Source organism: Homo sapiens, chromosome 5, assembly GCF_000001405.40.
Source record: "Homo sapiens chromosome 5, GRCh38.p14 Primary Assembly".
Lineage (NCBI taxonomy): Eukaryota > Metazoa > Chordata > Mammalia > Primates > Hominidae > Homo > Homo sapiens.
The window spans coordinates 131999331-132016641 of NC_000005.10; the positions used below are offsets into that span (position 1 = coordinate 131999331).

The window sequence follows — 17311 nt, forward strand, 5'->3', positions numbered from 1 at the left end:
GTAGCTGAAGCAGTTACTCCATCTCTTTGCAAGCCAAAGGGGCTCAAAGACAACTTGCACAAGTAGATGCATTCACACCCTACCTTTCCAGCAGGCTCCTGGCACTGAGGAGGCGGCTGAGCTCGTCCCACTAGAACCAGCCTCCCTTTATAGGGCCTGTGGGGCCCAGGGAAAGAAGTTACCACATCTTGATCAAAGCACAAAAGTGGCGAAGGCCCTGCCCCGAGTCTGCCCTCCTGGGGACAGTCGATGGCAACAGCCGCCTGCTCTGAGAAGCCGGGTGGTGGTAGAGCCGTTAGCAGTGGTAGCACAGGCTCCCTGGTGGCTGTGGGAGCAGGTCTGGCAGGGAACAGGGCACACAGCAGTTCTGTAAGGAGTTGCTGGCCCCTCAAGGCCCCCGCCAGCCCCACCTCCATCTGCATGCAGGGCGGTGCTGGCTCAGATCAGCTCAGAGCCAAGCAACCCAGCCTTAACCCTCACCCTGCCAGCGTGCCAGAGCCTCAGCTTACACCCCCCTGCTTTTCCCCTCACCCCACCCTGTTTGCAGTTCTGAAAGGGAGTTTGCCAAGTGGGTTTCTTAAGAACAAAGTCTCCTTACACATCCATTTGAGACAATGATTAGGGCCAGGCCTTTGCTGTGGGCTTGGGACTGCAGTGAGCATGAGTTTATGTGTGTAGGGGGTGGGGGGTGACAGGAAGTAGTGGGGAGTAGGGGATGGGGATGCTAGCTCTCTGGCACTGAGGGCGACTGTACCATCTACCCGGGAGATTCTGCCTCCAGCCTCTCCCAGGGGCTGCCTCTGCTCCCCACCCCCACAAGGTCACAGCCAATCTACTTGGGAAGAGGAAAGAAATGGCACAGTTCCAGATAAAACATCTGCTTAGGGATGCTCTGGGGAGTGAGGACACTCTGGACCAAGGATCAGAGCCAGCAGGTGGAAGATAGTGGCTGATCTCCACCACAAGACCCCAGGGCAGCACACCAGCCCTGCTCTCATGCCTGCACTAAGAGATACTGTTGCCTAGTTTGCATGGGAATGGTCACCCTGGAGCCAGAACCCACACCCTTGCCTATTAGGACCGAAGCTGAGCTCTGAAGTCCTGCAGCACCTCTGCCAGACTGAGAGACTGAGGTCCCAGGGGCTCTCGGGGGTCTCACTACTGCAAGATCTGTGAGGCTTAGGGGTGTGGGTGGCTACTTCCATAGCATTTTCACTACTATTTCCATGGCTAACATGTGGCTGAGCACACAAGTATGATCACTGCGTATTTTGAATTGGACACTCATTCTGATCATAAGGTAGACAGCTAGACTCATGGTGGCACCTGCTAATAAGTAAAAGACAAGTCTAGGCCACAGGAGCCAGCTTACTACCACCCCCAGGCCCTACCCACATCAGGTGCTTCTGGGCAATTACGAGTCTGCCTGCACTGGGCCACTGTCCACCCAAATTTAACCCTGCTCCCTTGCTGCAAGAATGTCCCAGGACAGGACCCAGTGCTCTGAGCTCCCTCTTGAAAGCTGTTTGCCCAATTGCCTGGCAAGTCTAGAGCCCACAGGCTTGCAACACCTTCCCTGGAGCAGATAACAGCTTCCACTACTCACCCTACCATCTGGGTGAGCCATGAGAAGAGCGTCCTGCCTCAGCGACCCTCATCTGGAACTTGGCCCTAGCTTCCCCCAACCCACCCCGATTAAAATGAACGAATATCTGAGCACCCCCGATCAGCCCACAAAGTCACTTCACCTTTCTTCTAGGCAGGACCCTTACTTTTCTCCAAATATCTTCAGAGATGCTTTTAATATGAAAGCTTCCTTTAATGCTTCTCAAGGCAGCCTCTGGGGCAGGAAATCCAGTGGTCTGTGGGAAATCCCACAGAGTGCCAGAGGCATAGAGCTGAGGGAGTAGTTTCACCCCAAGCAGTGTGCAGCCCAGTTGCCAGGTTGAGAAATGCACAGCCTTCACCATCACACATGTACAACCCTGACCTGCAGAGGTGCAAACACAGCAGCGCACACTTGCCCAACACCTGCCCTCTCCACACAGGGATTCAAGCTTCTCTCTGCTGTGAGAGAAGGGTTTGCTCTCCATTTTCCTCTTGGGTTTTAATTAGATTCACAGAACCACATAAGACCAGGGCAGAAATGGAGCAAAGAGCCTCCCTGACTTGGGAATTGCCAGGTGGGACCCACTGTACATCCCCCATGAGATAGAGGCCCAGGATACGATACGGGGTTGCCAGGTTACATGGTGGCTCACCTGCCAAGCTTCCCCAAGGAGCCTGATCATAGCTCTGATGGTTCAATTAAGCCCCTTGAATGTAGAAAGGCCCAGCTAAGGCTGGCTGTGACTGAGTACTTTACAGAGCCACCTGTTGCAACTAGCCCAAGCTCACTGTGAGCATGCCTCCCTTTAGCAGCCTCCACTGCCCGCTGGCCTCCCCATCCTCATGACAGTACCTCTCAAAAATCTCACTCACCCTAAGCCCTGCTCAGGGAATGTGGGTCCACATTCCTGATGCTAGCACCAGGAAGCCAGGCACAAACAATGCTTTCAGGAACTTTAAAATATGAATAGCCTTGAGAACAGAGGAGCAAACAGATACACAGTGTCTTTCACACGCTCTGAGATAAACGTTGCCCTCACCATGAATTAGGCAGGACAAAGTTCTCAGAGCAAAGAGGGACAGCAGGGGCTAAAAAAACAGCAGTAGTCCCTTTGGAAATATTTACAGGGTATGATAACCAGGACTGATGGTGTGGACGAGTTCAGATCCTTCCACGCCAAGCCCTGGGACAGCAGGCAGGACCCTAGGAATACTGACCAGGGTCACCATCACCTCACAGGCACAGGGACACTCCCTGGCCAGGCCCTCCTGTGCAGGAAGCCAAATCCTGTGGCTGTAACACGATCCTTTGCCTTTCCGGCCATGTCCACGTTAGGACTGCTGGTGTCCCGGCCTCAGGAGCAATGATTCATTTCTGCCACTGGCTCAAACTTAGGACACACTGCAAACTAAGCTTGAACCAGTAAAGGGCATATGGGCTGCTCATGGCGAGGCCATGCACTCAGAGCTCAACTGCAGGTGGCTGGGGTACAAGCAGGATGGGATGCGACCTCCTCCAGCTAGAGGGAAGCTCCTTGAAGTAGGGAGGGTCCTGCCAATATATGGTTGGGGGTCACTGAGGTGGGGGGAGCAACAGAGGGATTTGCTTGCCTGCTTGTTCACTTAGGAGCCCTGCTGGTCTCCTGGGGACACGTGCTAGGGGAGAAATGCACAAAAGACAGAACCTGAGACATCCTTAGCCAGGGAGGGAGAACAAGGAGAGGATCCGAGCTGGGTGGGAAAGGGTAGAGAACAGGGCTATCGAAGAGGGACAGAAGTGGGTTGGTAAGTCACAGGAAGAGCCTGTAAGATGTTGGGGCCCCTGGCAGGAGCCCTCACACAGTGGCGGGAAGGAGGCAGAGGCCTGTCTGCACTGAGGACTGGGGCAGGAAGCTGAGGCTGGCAGGATGGCACTTAGCTATGGGAGAAAGGAAAAAGATGGTGATGGGTACTGTATATCTGCCTCATGCCTTCAGAGTCACAGCCCACAAGCTAATGGCACTCAGCCCTGGGGATGCAAAAGTGCCCCAGGCAAGCTGTGCTCCTACATCCTTGGCAAAGGGATTGCTGCTGCAGCCAGGATCCGGCATGGCTCCTTCACCTACCATTCCAGAGTCACTGAATTTTTTTGTAGACTAGAAAGTGAGCAAGACAAAAAGAGTTTTGCCCTTGGTTAAGGGCACATTTTCTGGCAAATTTGGTAAATAGCTGAATATTCTGGCATCCCCATAGTCTGACAAAATTCCTCTTCTGAATGCCTCAAGAAGAAACAAATCTGAATTTCCTCCAGTTTAGCAAAAGGCTGTGCTGGTCAACGGGAATCTGCCACCTCCTGAATCCCCCCTCTGGAGGTCAGGCGGCACAGCAGCTGCAGCCTTAAGCTGCTCTCCCTCCGGCAGCAAGCGGTCAAGTTCTGCTGTTGGCCTGTGAGAGCCTACAGTGTCCACAGAGTTAACATTAGACTGGAGCGGCCCAGCCCTCAGCGGGCAGGAGCACTGGGAACTCAGGCCTCCTTTTCAAGGCCAGGATGAATGGGAAATATGCAAATGGCCGCCTCCCAGGAGCGGCAGGGGAGGGCCTGCTGCTGGCAGGAGGGCATCACTCCACTTGGGTCTGTCACATGAAAGGGTTTGTATTCCTGCCGCTGGCCGGCTCCTGGCCAGGCTGGGGCTGTTCTCACCAGAAAACAAAAATGTCTTTCAGACCAAAGCAAAACGAGGCCCCAGCTGGCCCAGGCAGGCCATTGGGCGTTGTTCACACTGACCCACTATGAACACCAATCACTGGGGCTCTCACTTTGCACCCACTGGAAGGAACCCATCATCTTTGGAGACGGAACTGGAGGCCTCGGTGGCTGCTGAGGAAAGCACTACGTAAGTTCGGGGGGATGGAGGTGGGATCCAGAAAGAGGGTCAGCCCCCTCTGAGGCTCTGTTGGTTTTGTGCTTTTCGAAAACAGTAGTGGCGGAATCTGGAGTAGCACCCTTTTTTTGGATAAGGAAACTTCAGTTATTCTCACAGTGTTGATGGTAAACATGGAGAAAGAAATGGGAAGAAAAAAGTGCTGGTACACAAGAAGACCCTGCAGTGCACAGAGAGGACTTTCAATAATGGAGGGCACGTGTGTCCTCTGCCTGGTGCCCACACTCCTGCTGCCACAAGTGCCCTCGAGTGGGAGGTGGGGATAAGGGCAGCCCAGAGCCCCATGTGCGGGATCACTAGCTTCCAGGGCTGGGGCTCCTTCTTCAACCAAGGCTCCATGCCAAGGTCAGGCTTCTATCCTTTTTTTTTTTTTTTGGCTGACTTTCAGCAGCCAGAACACTGCTTCTCTGACACCCCATGGTCACCAGGAGCTGCCTATTAACCACAGCACAGACCTTGTGCCCTGTGGAGCATGGATGCCACTCAGACTCCCACTACCAGGAGAAATAGCACAGCAAGATCTCAAGCACACATGTGGCCGTTGAGCCTGAGAGGACATCTAGGACAAAACCACTTTGGAGTTGATTTTGAACCAACAGGTGGGTTGGTGGATGCTCCACAGATCTCCTGAAATCCAAGGGAGATATGTCTTGTCAGCCTCTGGGGCTAAAGGAAACTGGTATTCGTTTGGGCCACACAGTATCTTCATGAAGCCAAGGTGCCAGGCATGTCTCTGTGAGAGGTCATGGAACTGTCCAGGGAGCAGAAGCAGGAGACAGAGGAGACAGGACACTTCAGAATGACCTAGAAAAGTTGGTTCCACAGGTCATAGCCTTCCATATCTGGTCTGTGGCAAGGAGATCGGGGACACATGCACCCAAATCCCCTACCAGCCTACTGGATGGGGGAAGGCCCAACCTCCATTTCTCTCTAAACCCTCCCTGCCACCACAGACAGACCTAGGCTTAGGGGAGTTGGCCTACAGAATATGCATGAGTTGGCTGGGCATGGTGGCTCACACCTGTAATCCCAGCACTTTGGGAGGCTGAGATGGGTGGATCACCTAGATCACCTGAGGTCAGGAGTTTGAGAACAGCCTGGCCAATGTGGTGAAACCCCGTCTCTACCAAAAATACAAAAAAATTAGCCGGGTGTGGTGGCAGGCACCTGTAATCCCAGCTACATGGGAGGCTGAGGCAGGAGAATCACTTGAACCCAGGAGGCAGAGGTTGCAGTGAGCCAAGATCACGCCATTGCACTCCAGCCTGGGCAACAACAACAAAGCTCTGTCTCAAAAAAAAGAAAAAAGAAAAAAAAATGCGTGAGTTGAAGGTGTCCTCAGAGAATCACATCCAGCCCATCTGCTGGAAAGCACAGTCACGATGAACACTGAAGTTCTCCAGCCACTAAGCAGGGTCCTGGGGTCTATGTGGCTTCATGCAGCATCAGCTCTAGTGGCAGGGCAGAGTGGCCAGAGCTTCCCTTCCAAAGCAGAGGGGTCACTGCAGGCCTGGATGGGTCTCCACTGAGTCTACTTTCTCCATACTGACAATTGTCTTCCTCTCACTGGCCTAAAGGCCTTAAGGCCTTACTCCAGCCAACCTCCCTGTCCAATCTCACTGGCCGGCTCACATGCCACCTTGCTGATCTCTGTCCCAGCTCTAACTGTCCTTGCTGTGTAGCCTCTAGCTGCCCTTTCTATCCAATATCTAGTTGACCTCACTGTCTCTCCCAGTGACATTTCTGCCTGTTTATGAGGCAGGATCTGCAGTCAGTATCTAGAATGGTCTGCAGCAAAGCTAAGGCTGGGACAGGGGTGCGTGGGCAGGAGGAGTCCCACGGGGGAGTCTCAGCCCCTACAACAGTCCATGAGTTGGAGGGAAAAGCAGAGCTTTGTAGCAGAGCTGAGTCTTGATCAGTCCCTTGGAATCCACATCCTGCACTGGTGGGCCAGGCTGTGCTGAGAGTGAGGCGGGGTCCCAGGCACTGGTCAATAGGGTCTGTCCCAGAGCTGCCCAGTCAACCTGGGCCTACCTACTCACTCATTTCTCCAATAGCTATCAATTACTAAGTCTGTTCCTGGCCCTAACAGGTGCCAGCCCACATTTGCTTATACCAGGGGCTGAGCACTAAGATGCTGATTGTTCCCTCACTGGCCTGGCTTCCTGCTCTAAATTCCCAGGAGACAGTGATCTCGGAACACAAGCTTAAATGGGCAGATGGCAAATCAGAAGCCATTCCCAACTCCCCCAGACGCCCCTACTACATGCCTGGCTTAGGTGCAGGGAGAGGAAGGGTATCTCTGGGAAGAGCTGGCAAATAGGGTCAGGTGAGACTTCTTGGGATTTGAAATCCTTCTGGCTCTGAGAGTATTGGTTGGGTCTCAGAATAGATAGCTCGGCTTGGCTTGAAATTTCTGTTCCAATCCACTTCCCATCTTCCCATTTCTGCCTGTCCCAGGCCCCAAGATTCACATGAATTAGGAGCTACACAAAGGAAGTAGGCCCAGGAATAACCACACCTACCACGGATCTCCCGAGGCAGCCGAGCAAATGATGAGGAACCACCCCTGGGCATCCTGAAGGACAACCCCAAGGGCTCAAAGCAGCATCTCATCCACAGCACTCCCCTAACCCCACCAATCTGTGGACCCAGTGGATGGTTAGTGGGAACTCTGGCGAGGCCAACGCAAGGAATGGGAGCATCACACCAGACCATCCAGTGAGGTGAGGACCTTGACTGGGAATTCCTCTCATCTATGCTTGGCAGAGTGGCCCAAGCTCCCAATCTGTCAGGTGACTGGAACCTTGGAGCTCTAAGGAAGCAGCAGCCCTCAGAGAAGACTCTCTTCCACAAAACTGGTCACCCAGAAGCTGTGGGTTCACTAGTTGATTCATTCATTCATTCAACAAACACTTCTGGAGCACCTCCTTCTATTCCAGGCTGCACTGGTTCTCAGCACACAGGGTTCTCCAGTGAAGGGTAACCTGGCCCTGCCTGCAAGGAGTTTACACCTGCTTTTCCCTACTGCTTCTAACATATTGGCATCATCCCCCACCTGGGCACAGAGCCTAGCATCCTAGCAGGAGCACACTCAAAATCTGTTGTTTACTGATTGACTTGTGGTAAGGAAACAGCTTATAAAACACATTATTAAAATAAATTACGCTCAGGGAATTCTTTAGTTTATGCAATAAACTCTTATGTACCCTGTGTGCCCAACTCTGGGTTGGGGACATAGACATGAGACACCTGGCCCTGCCCTCAAGGAGACCATGGACTTGTGGAGGAGGCTTCTGGAGCACAGGAATAGTGTCACCTTGGTCATCCACATGCCCAGTTCTACCCACACCTCCTTGACATAACCGCTGCACAGAATAAAGCCAATGCTGTTTGGCCTGTTATCCTAGGCCTGCAGAGCCCACCTCTGGCAACCTCACTGGCCCAGCAGAATTGGTCCTTCAACTTCATTCAGTCCTATTGCCAATCTTCCCTCACACAGGTCCCTTGGCCTGGAATGCCTTTTCTTTTCCTACTCCCTTTCTGCATGTCAGAATCCTGGATCCCCTTTAAGGAAAGCCTAATACAAGTTATTATAATTTTAGCTAACATGGCTGGCTGATCATGCCTGGTGGTCCCTTCCTGGACTGAAAGTCTGAGAATGTGGCCTGACTCACAGCTCTTACAAGTTGCTTCACCACTGAACCTCGCTGAGTCTCAGGGCCTCACCTAGGCAATGGGGAGAACACAACACAGTGTTGTGGGAGGATGGAAGGAAAGTTTGGAGAATCATAGACAGGGTGCTTGACACATGGTAGGTGCTCAGTGAAACAACAGCCAAGTCAGCCTGTTTGCAATAGTTAATCCCATAAAAACACCCCTCCACACACACCTAGTACTTAATGAGTATTTGAGTGCCTACTATGTGCCCAGTGCTGGCTGGATACACAGTGTAGCTTCTGTTATACAAAAGCCTGTAACTTTTGCCCATTTTTATAAACAAGCCAGAGCCTCATGATCACTCACCCCATGTATGGGACAGTCCTGAGTCCCATCTGGGGCTGTAGCTGAGCCAAATTCAGCCTTCTGAAGGTCAACCCATGAATCCTTATAACCACAAGGGACAGAACAATAGCTGGAGAGCATAATGACTGGGTTCTGCTGCCCCCTGGTGTCAGTATGTTCTTACCATATAGGCTGGAGAGCTGTGAGAAGGTGCTGCGGGCAAAATCCTGCTCCATGCTGGTGCACCTTGTACAAATTCAGGCTTTCTTTGTGAGGCATGTCCCCAGCTGGCCACAGAGCCACCTGTTCTGCCTGGAGCTCTACCATCTGTCCCAATTCATAACTGCAATCTCCAAACCCCTGGGGTGGCCCTAGACCTCAAGTCAGTTCTCTGTCCTAATGGGAGCCCAGAGTGGGGTAAGGGGAGGATCTCACAGGCCTGAACTAAGCCAAAGTGTGCAAGTCTATGCTTGCCCTAGGCATCTATAGCCAGGAGCATGCCAAACCATTCTTTAGACGGGCAACTTTGTCTCGCCCCACCAGGGCCAGCCCCACTTCTCCTAAGGCAGAGGCCAGGGGTGGGGGCTTATCTCTTCTCCTTACTGGAGCCCAGCCATGACTCAAGCCATCCTTGGACCACATCTATTCTTATCCATAACATCATAACGACCTCCTACTACCCTCCTGGACTCCACTCTCTTCCTCTTGACTCAGCAGCTAAATGGAGGGATCCTCTACCATCCAAATAAAACCTTCTCCAGAATCCTCTCCCACAACCCACATTGCTCAGGCACAAGACCTTGAAGACTCATCCCCCATTGCAGTTCTTCCACAAACTCTGCTAGTCTGGCTTCCTCCACTTGGATCTTGGCCTCCCTATCTCTGACAAATTCCCCTGAATGCTGCAGAAGCCCACTCATATGTCACTGATGGTTGGGTATATGATTGAACAGATTAGACCCTGCGGCATGGGGCTGCCTTAGCCTAGAGGAAGGTGTGCCCTTTTAGAAAGTTATCCACCAAGAGTGAGACTTCTTCCTACTTTGCACAAAGGTGCTGTACAGGCAGGCAGAAGCTCTGATCCTCTGCTCCCATTGTCCTCTAGGTGTTTATGGCACTGAGGGCATGCTTCCCCAAGCCAGACCTAGCATCTGACTCATGCTGGACTTATTTTACTTGTCTCCTTGTTTAGTATTCAACACACAGGTGAGATCTGGGCTGGCCCAGGACTCATTGCTGGCCTCTCCAGCAGGCAACAGGACAGACACAGCCCAGAACAGATGGCTACCTCCCACAAACAACAGTCAGCTCCTCCTCCTGGTGCATTGCCACACCCCCATCCCCGACTTTATGTCATCTCTCCCTGAGGGCCCTTGAGGGAAACCCTTGCCTGGCCCTACCTTGTCTCCCTAGGGCCAGGTTAGGTGGCAAAAAGCACATAACTCTACTAAAGAGAGACATTGCCTCCTGTTACTGGCTGAGTGGAAGGGATCTGGCAGCTGCCGTGGGACCATGGGACCCTGGAGATGACAAGGCAGAGCATGTTCTCAGGTGTGCTCACAGAACTACAGCTCTTAACTCAGGAGTCTCTTCTGCCACCAGAGAAAGGCTGGGGGCCAGGTGGAGTCTCAAGGAGGGTGGATACATAACTTAAAATGCCCCAGCAATTGTCTGGGTTATTCTATCCAATAAGCACCATAGACCAGCCTCAGCCTCTTGCTTTTTGCATTGGGAAGCTCGGCCTCTGTGGAAGCAGCCACTACCTGCCCCAAGAATCGCTCCTGCTTGACGGTTCTGAGGCCCTGTATAGTCTCTCAGTGAGGCAGATTCCCCAGTTTCCCATTAGAGGAGGGAGCTGACCACTTTAGGAAATGCTCCACAAGGAAACAGGACTCCACTTTGAGTCAGTGCCAGCTAACCCTGCTCACAGACAAGGACCCCACAGGGTGAGGGACTTTTTCTCACAGGCTGCTGATGACCCCGGTCACAAGTGGTCTTGCAGCCCCTAGACACCTCCCTGCAGCCACAGAAGATCAAGTCTTCAGAGAGCTGACCTTGGACCCATGGTTGGGTGGGGCCTCCTGAGGGTAGGGCAAAGGGGTCCTGGCAGTGGGGAGAGGCTCTGAGACCATCCATCACTCAGGCATTAAATGGTGGCTGTTACGACCACCATCACCATTATTTTAATTATCCTTGCCCTTTACCTCCAACCCCAGCTCTAGCCCTGCCCTTGTCTGCTGGATGTGCCTCAGGACCAGAGTGCCCCTGCACAGCCAGTCACAGACACTGGCAGACAGAAGGAGCTTAGGGAGCTGAGGGGATTAGGGAGGCTTCACTCACTCTCCCAGCTCAGGGGAAGTGTCCCTGTGGCCTAACTTAAGGAAATGGTGGGGGTGAAGGAAGTGATTACTAGGCCCACCAACCCTCCAGGTTCAGGCCTGATCCAGCCAAGCACTTAGCATTGGTTGATCAATTAAAACCTCGAATGGAATCCCAGTCTGCCAAATATCCATGTGACACTAGGCAAGTCAATTGACCTCTGAACTCAGTAAAAAAAGGGATGGTGCCACCGACCTCCTAGGGTTTTCCATGAATATTAAATAACACGTACAAAGCCTCAGGTAAAGATTTCAAGAGGGTCAACTTCCTCCCCTTCCTTGGCTCAGAAAAAGCTTTATTACCACTTCTGATGGTGCTGTTTGAATGTGAGATAATAATAAACACTAACATTCATAGAGCATTTGCTGTGGCCTAGGACAGGTTTAAGGCCAATTTAAGGATCAAGCACTGCACACAAATTATCAGGCTGAATCTGCACATGGGGGTTGGGGTGGAGGTGGAGATCCTTTAGTGGTATTATACTCTGGAGGACCCCAGGCTCAGAGAGGGGAAGTAGCCGGTGCAGGTGGTAGAACTGGCAGATAAAAGGGCCTGTGGTGAGACTCCAGGTGTGGGTGTATGGGGGGTTGAGGGAGGTAAGCGCGGAGGCGGGATCGAGCAGGGGTCCTTGTAGCCGCCTAAGAAGTGCAGTGGTGAAGCTGACTCCTGTGAGGTGGAGGGGAGGGGTCTGGAAACAGTGGAGACACAGCAGCCCTGGGCAGAGCAGAGGAGCCAGGTGAACCCTACCTTACAGAAATCTTGTACTCTGGCTGAAGGACGGGCAGGGAGGGGTCGTGAGGAAGCCCCTCGCCGGGATCAGGAAGCCTAGGTCAGTCCGGGTTACATAGCTGACCTGCTGTGGGACCTCGGGGACCAACACCCTCGGTTTCTGGTCCCAGGAGATGGACAAGGACGCAATGTCTGTTCCTGGCCTTGGCTCAGGGCCTAATCTGATCCGCGGATGGTCCTTGCCATCAGGGAAGGGGGACGCAAGAACTCGGCGGGGGTTTGTGGTGGGGTCGCAGAGAGCAAGCCCTATATCTCCCTCCGCAGACCCAGGTGCTCCCCAAACCCGGCCCGGAGCCCGCGAGAACTGGGGGCGGAGGGTGTACTTAGGCGGCCCTGGGGACCTTGACGGGACAGCTCAGCAGCAGGGGATGGGGGCTCGGCGGCCGCGGAGATGTAACACCTCCACCTCGGGCGAAGACCTCATAGCCTGCGGGAGATGGGAGTCCGGGACGCGGACAGGACGGGCACTTACCTACGAATAGCCAGAGGGAGCCCCCCGACACGAGGAAGAAGGTCAGCATGGCGGTCAGCGGGGCCCGGCCCGGCCCGGCCCGGCCTCCCCGACCCGCAGCCCCGCAGCCCCGCAGCCCAGCAGCCCCAGCAGTAGCCGCGCCGCCGCCGCCGCTGCCGGGTATTTTTAGCCCCCGCCCTCCGGCCCCGCAGCTCCCGCCTCCCCGCGCCGCTGCGGAGACGGCTCAAGGGGGAGGGCGCGGCGCGCACTCGCAACCGAGCCTTACTCCCTGCCCTGCAGCCTGGCCGGCCGGGTCTGGGGCTTGCCCCGCACTGACCGCGGTGTCGGAACCGCCAAGCTCCCGGGCGGGGGAGGGGCCCGGCCGCAGAGCGAACCAGCCCTCTCCGGCCCCGCTCTCCAACGTCAGTACCTGGCATTCTGCGGAAACCGGCTGGAAGGGGGAGCACGGGCGACGAGCGCCAGAGCGTGACATTGAGCCCACCCCGCCGCCACCCACCCCATCAACACGCGACCCTGCCCCCGCGCGACTCGCAGCCTGGGTTTTATGGCTGGGCAGGCTCGAATGGCAGCCGGGTCGCGGTTACCTGTCCTAGGAGGTGCACACTCCTGTGGGCTGTTGCCCGCTGACACCAACGCCCCCTAGGACCCGAGTTTGCAGACATGGGGAGCCTCCGGGTGCCACCTCTGCAAACCAGTGAGGGGAGGGAGTGGCAAGTGTTCACCTAGGCTCTGACAAATCAGGCAGCTAGACCAGATAGTGCCCAGATCATCTGGGGACGCACGAGTTCAGGTCTGAGGCTACGCAAGGTCACAGGAGACTCAGTGTGATCACAGGCTGCCATATGTGTTCACCAGTAGTAACATGGTCACAGGCAGCCACATGGAATCACAGGTGTCTCATGAGGAAATCATGATCTTCGTACACAACTGTATGTGGCACACGAGGTCTCAAGAAGCCCCTCATAGCCACAATAAATGGCCATATAGCCACACACAGCCACAGATGCCCACACTGCTGGGCTGAGGGCTTGGACACCTGTTGCAGTGTCTGCCATTGAAAGGAGGAAGCCCAGTTGCACATTTTCTGAAATAATAAGGGTAGGCATCCTGGTGGGCACCCCATGAACATCTGCACCTCCAAGCAAGATCACCTCTTCCCAATGCCCTTGCTTGTTTTCCTCAAGCATGCAGAGCCCACCAGGACTCCAGCACCGAGGACAGCGCTCAGGCAGCCGGGCCTTCTCTATACGCAGCCCTCCCAGGCCAGGAGCTGGCTGAGCCACAGCCCAGAAAGAAGAGGATAGAAAACCAGAGAGCAGAAGTCAGGAAGCAGAGAGTGGAAGAGCATGAGATCTCTTCAGGCCCACCAGAGACCATCAGCCATGAGTGCATGTGGGCTCACAGCTCAGCAGCTGGGTGTGTGGGGGGGCCTGTATCTGTAGTACGAGTACATGGCATGTGTGTGCCCAGGCCTGTGTGCACCTTGTAGTGGTGCAAGTGTGCAGATGTGTGCCTCTGAGTCACTTCCAATCTTTACAATAGGATCCTACACCTTCTCCATCATAGGATCTGGACTCCTGGGAGAGCTGCTCCAGCTTGAACTCAGCCACAGCCTGGCAGGGACTTTGCTGGGATCTCAAGCTTGGCAGGGCTCCTCCAAGAGGGTGTGACAGAGGCTGTATGGCAGGACTCCTCCCAGCAAGTAACATGGCTTTGAGAATCCCCCCACCCCACCCATACACTCCCACTGGCAGCAGAGTAACTGGAGATCTGCTAGTACTGAAGAGGAGACCCAGGGGAACCAGAAGCCTGGGCAGAAAGAACATATCTCCCCAGACCAGATTGGTCTAGGGAGGTGGTCAGGTAATTTCCCCATAGGCCAGTGGTTCAACAGAGCATTTCTTCACAGAGCAGGGGGCCAGGAGCCAGGCTGCAAGCCTCAGGCCTCTGCGGCACTCAGCTGCAGGAGCACTCCGGGCCCTATGCGGCTCTGGCAGCCTCCTCTTCAGAGTGATGTCATGGGACACATTTAGCTTGGCCTCCAGCAGGATGTCGCATCCCGTTACTCTCCCTACAGATGTCTCTGCTACTTGTGAATATTTTAATTCAAAAACCAGTACTGGAGCTGTGACTGATTCTAGCTTAGCCAAGTATTTTTCTGTTTTCCTCTGAGCATGGCTTGGCTTCCCCTGAGAGATGGGGACAGAAAGGCCCTAGCCTGGTTGTGGGATCATGGCCAGGTCTCTCTCCTCTCTAGGCCTGTTCCTTCCACTGAGTAATGGGACTTGTTCTTTCCTGTCCTGAGTTCCCAAGGTCTTCTTCCTTCTCTGTGAGTCTCAATCTGTGGACCATCTGCAGGCATGGGTAGACGCTGTGACTCAGGCCCTAGACTGCATGGGTGTGGCATCCATGGAACCCAGGGCCCAGAAATGCCCAGGCCAGGCTGGGGAGCCCTTGGATATCCCTCTTGGTCCTTAGCCAGCAAATCCAGCCACCTTAGCGGCCAGCCATGTTCACACATATCTCCTCCCAGACTAGCATCTCTAAGTGGGTTGGCAGGCAGGAGCCTAATCATCTATTTGCAGCCCTGGCTTGGGGTCTGGCCCAAAGAATGCAGAGGATATTATCCCATTTGACAGAGCAGAAGACTGACGTTGGGAAAGGCGAACAACTGTCTTAGGTCACACAGCAGTTCTGGGCTCCTGACTCCCATTTATTCATTTTTCATTCATTCTCTCCTACATTTTGATAGTTTCCCAAGTTGCAAGTGTCTCCGGTAGAATCCAGAAAACTCACTTTTCCAGCTTCCTTTGCAGCTAGGAGTGGATTAGTGACTTAGACTGTACCAATGAAACACACTCTCATGAGCCTTCGATAAAAAAGCCAGAAATGAGTGAAAGAAAGTCATGCACATGGCATCTACGTTGCTGGCACAAGGGTGGTAACAGAAGCCATGGATGGTGGATGATTCTGGGAGTCATTTCAGAAACTGAAATTTGAGCCTGTTTCTTGAAGTGCCCCAAAAGTTGAGCCTTTTAGAAGTGAACATGTTCTTTAATGTACTCTTTTTCTGATTAAAACAGTCAGTCCAGACTTTGTTTAGTCAGTTTGGAGCCAAGAACTCAAACTGATCCACTCACCATCCCACTGCTGAAGGTCTTTCCTGCCCTCCAGAGGGTGTGGATATGGGGCTGGCACACAGCATGATGCATCCTCTGTCCCCATTACTGCATCTCCTAGTGGAAGCTCTGACTGATGGGGCTGGGTGGGCTGAGCCAGGTCTTTGCTTCTCTGTATTCTGACAACCACATATTTGGAGACCTGAACCAAAAACTTGAAACTCAACAAAGAATCCACTAAGGATAACTACCCAATCTGGAGCAAAGGCTTTTAACACATGATATAATGGTTGGGGAGCTGCAAACAATATTCAACCATGTCTTTTACTGAGTAGTGGTGTTTTTTCCCCCTCAGATTAGTAAAATTGTTCAACATAGAAATTTTGGAAAATATAGAAAAGTATAAGATAAAATCACTTGTAATTTCATCCCCCAATGAGAATGCAATAATAACTAATGCAGTTCTGTATATTTTCTAACAACAATAATAATATCCAACATTTACACAGGGCTTAGTATGAGCCAGACATTATTTCTAAGCACTTTACGTATGTGTTATGGACCGAATTGTGTCCCCCACATCCCAGTTCATATATGGAAGCTCTAACCTTCAATGTGACTGTATTTAGAGACAGGGTCTTTAAGGTAAGTAAGGATAAATGAGGTCATAAGGGTGGAGCACTAATCCAATAGGACTAGTGTCCTTATAAGAAGAGTAACATCAGGAATAAAGACCTGAACTTTATTGCGAGAAAGTTTATTGTGATAACTTTATTGCAGAGAGAAGGCAGTCATCTTTAAGACAAGGAGAGGTCTTGCAGACCAGACACCAACTCTACCATCACCTTGACCTTGGATTTCCAGCCTCCAGAATCATAAGTAAATAAAATTCTGTTGTTTAAGCTACCAAGTTTGTGGTATTTTTGTTATGGCAGCTCCAGCAGCCTAATACAATATGCTAACTTGTTTAATCTTTACATCAACCCTGTCTTTTCCCCATGTGTAGTGCAGTTCAAGAAATACTTGTTGAATGAATAAATGAATGATGGATATTGTTTATTCAGTATCTTATGTTGCCCCCTTTTTTTTTTTGGAGAGTGCAGTGGCATGATCTCGGCTCACTGCAACCTCTGAACCTCTGCCTCCTGGGTTCAAGCGATTTTCCTGCCTCAGCCTCCCGAGTAGCTGGGATTACAAGCGCCTGCCTCCACCCCCAGCTAATTTTTGTATTTTTAGTAGAGACGGGGTTTTGCCAAGTTGGCCAGACTGGTCTCAAACTCCTGACCTCAGGTGATCTGCCCACCTCGGCCTCCGGAAGTACTGGGATTACAGGCATGAGCCACCATGCCTGGCCCTTATGCTGCTTTTTAAAAACCTAACATGAGTTTTTTTCCCATGTTATTACCTCTTTGCATTTTAAATAATGAATACATGAGAGCCATTCACGCATTCATTCATCTAACAAGTATATGCTGAGTCCCCACTATGTGCAAGGCATTGTTCTAGGTCCTGAGGATGTAGCAGTAAACAAACAAAAGGTCCCTGCCTGCATGGAGAGCACTTGCCCTGTGGAAATGCCATTGTCCATCTGTCAGGCATGAATTAACCCCGCTTATTTGGGAGGGTTTCTTCTAATTGAAAATTCTCTGTTGATCCAACCAGACAGACAAAACCAATGAGATTCGTTTTAAAAAAAAATGCCAATTAAATAACTGAAGGGCTTCTGGGATTTCCCCAGAGCTATGGAAAGGCAAAGATAGAGCTCTTAGAAGTTGTCCTGAGTCCACTGGGCTGGAAGTTAGCAATCGTCAACTGGCTGGGAGTTAGCACTGGCACCTCCAGGTTCCTGAGGGGATGCCTGTGCATATGTCTCCCACTCACACGAGGTCAGAATTGAATGGGAAACAAACTACATTTTAAAGACTGAAAATGAATCCAACTTGAAGAAAATATAGATTAATGTTTACACCATCTGGGGATGGGGAAGGTCTTTTTATGCACAACAGAGAAGGCAGAAA

At 52.4% G+C, this 17311-nt stretch overlaps 1 protein-coding gene and 2 long non-coding RNA genes across 25 annotated transcripts in view, besides 2 other annotated features; 2 read left to right on the forward strand and 1 right to left on the reverse strand.

Moving 5' to 3' along the window:
• ACSL6 (acyl-CoA synthetase long chain family member 6) overlaps nucleotides 1-12883 on the reverse strand; it is a 62241-nt gene extending 49358 nt beyond the window's left edge. For 9 of the 23 annotated variants that reach the window (NR_175946.1, NR_175947.1, NM_001205247.2 and 6 more), the window contains exon 1: nucleotides 12175-12328. Coding sequence is in view for 9 of the 23 variants with exons in the window: in NM_001205247.2 (NP_001192176.1) it covers nucleotides 12175-12223 (49 nt within the window). In the remaining 14 variants the exon portion in view is untranslated. The other 14 variants (NM_001205251.2, NM_001205248.2, NM_001405480.1 and 11 more) reach the window with 7 other exon arrangements.
• Nucleotides 2424-3019: an enhancer, noted in NCBI's record as "H3K4me1 hESC enhancer chr5:131337447-131338042 (GRCh37/hg19 assembly coordinates)". NCBI's record gives its function as "activates a minimal SCP1, AML or CMV promoter by ChIP-STARR-seq in primed H9 embryonic stem cells {active_cell/tissue: H9 hESC(primed)}" and the evidence as "EXISTENCE:reporter gene assay evidence [ECO:0000049][PMID:30033119]".
• Nucleotides 4243-7706, forward strand: ACSL6-AS1 (ACSL6 antisense RNA 1). Its single transcript, NR_183256.1, has 2 exons — nucleotides 4243-4481; nucleotides 6990-7706. It is a non-coding gene; the product is annotated as an ACSL6 antisense RNA 1 (long non-coding RNA).
• Nucleotides 8640-8759: a silencer, noted in NCBI's record as "silent region_16310". NCBI's record gives its function as "represses an Ori minimal core promoter by ATAC-STARR-seq in GM12878 lymphoblastoid cells {active_cell/tissue: GM12878}" and the evidence as "EXISTENCE:reporter gene assay evidence [ECO:0000049][PMID:35858748]".
• Nucleotides 12126-16199, forward strand: LOC124901062 (uncharacterized). The gene is made up of 2 exons (XR_007058933.1): nucleotides 12126-12215; nucleotides 16074-16199. It is a non-coding gene; the product is annotated as an uncharacterized LOC124901062 (long non-coding RNA).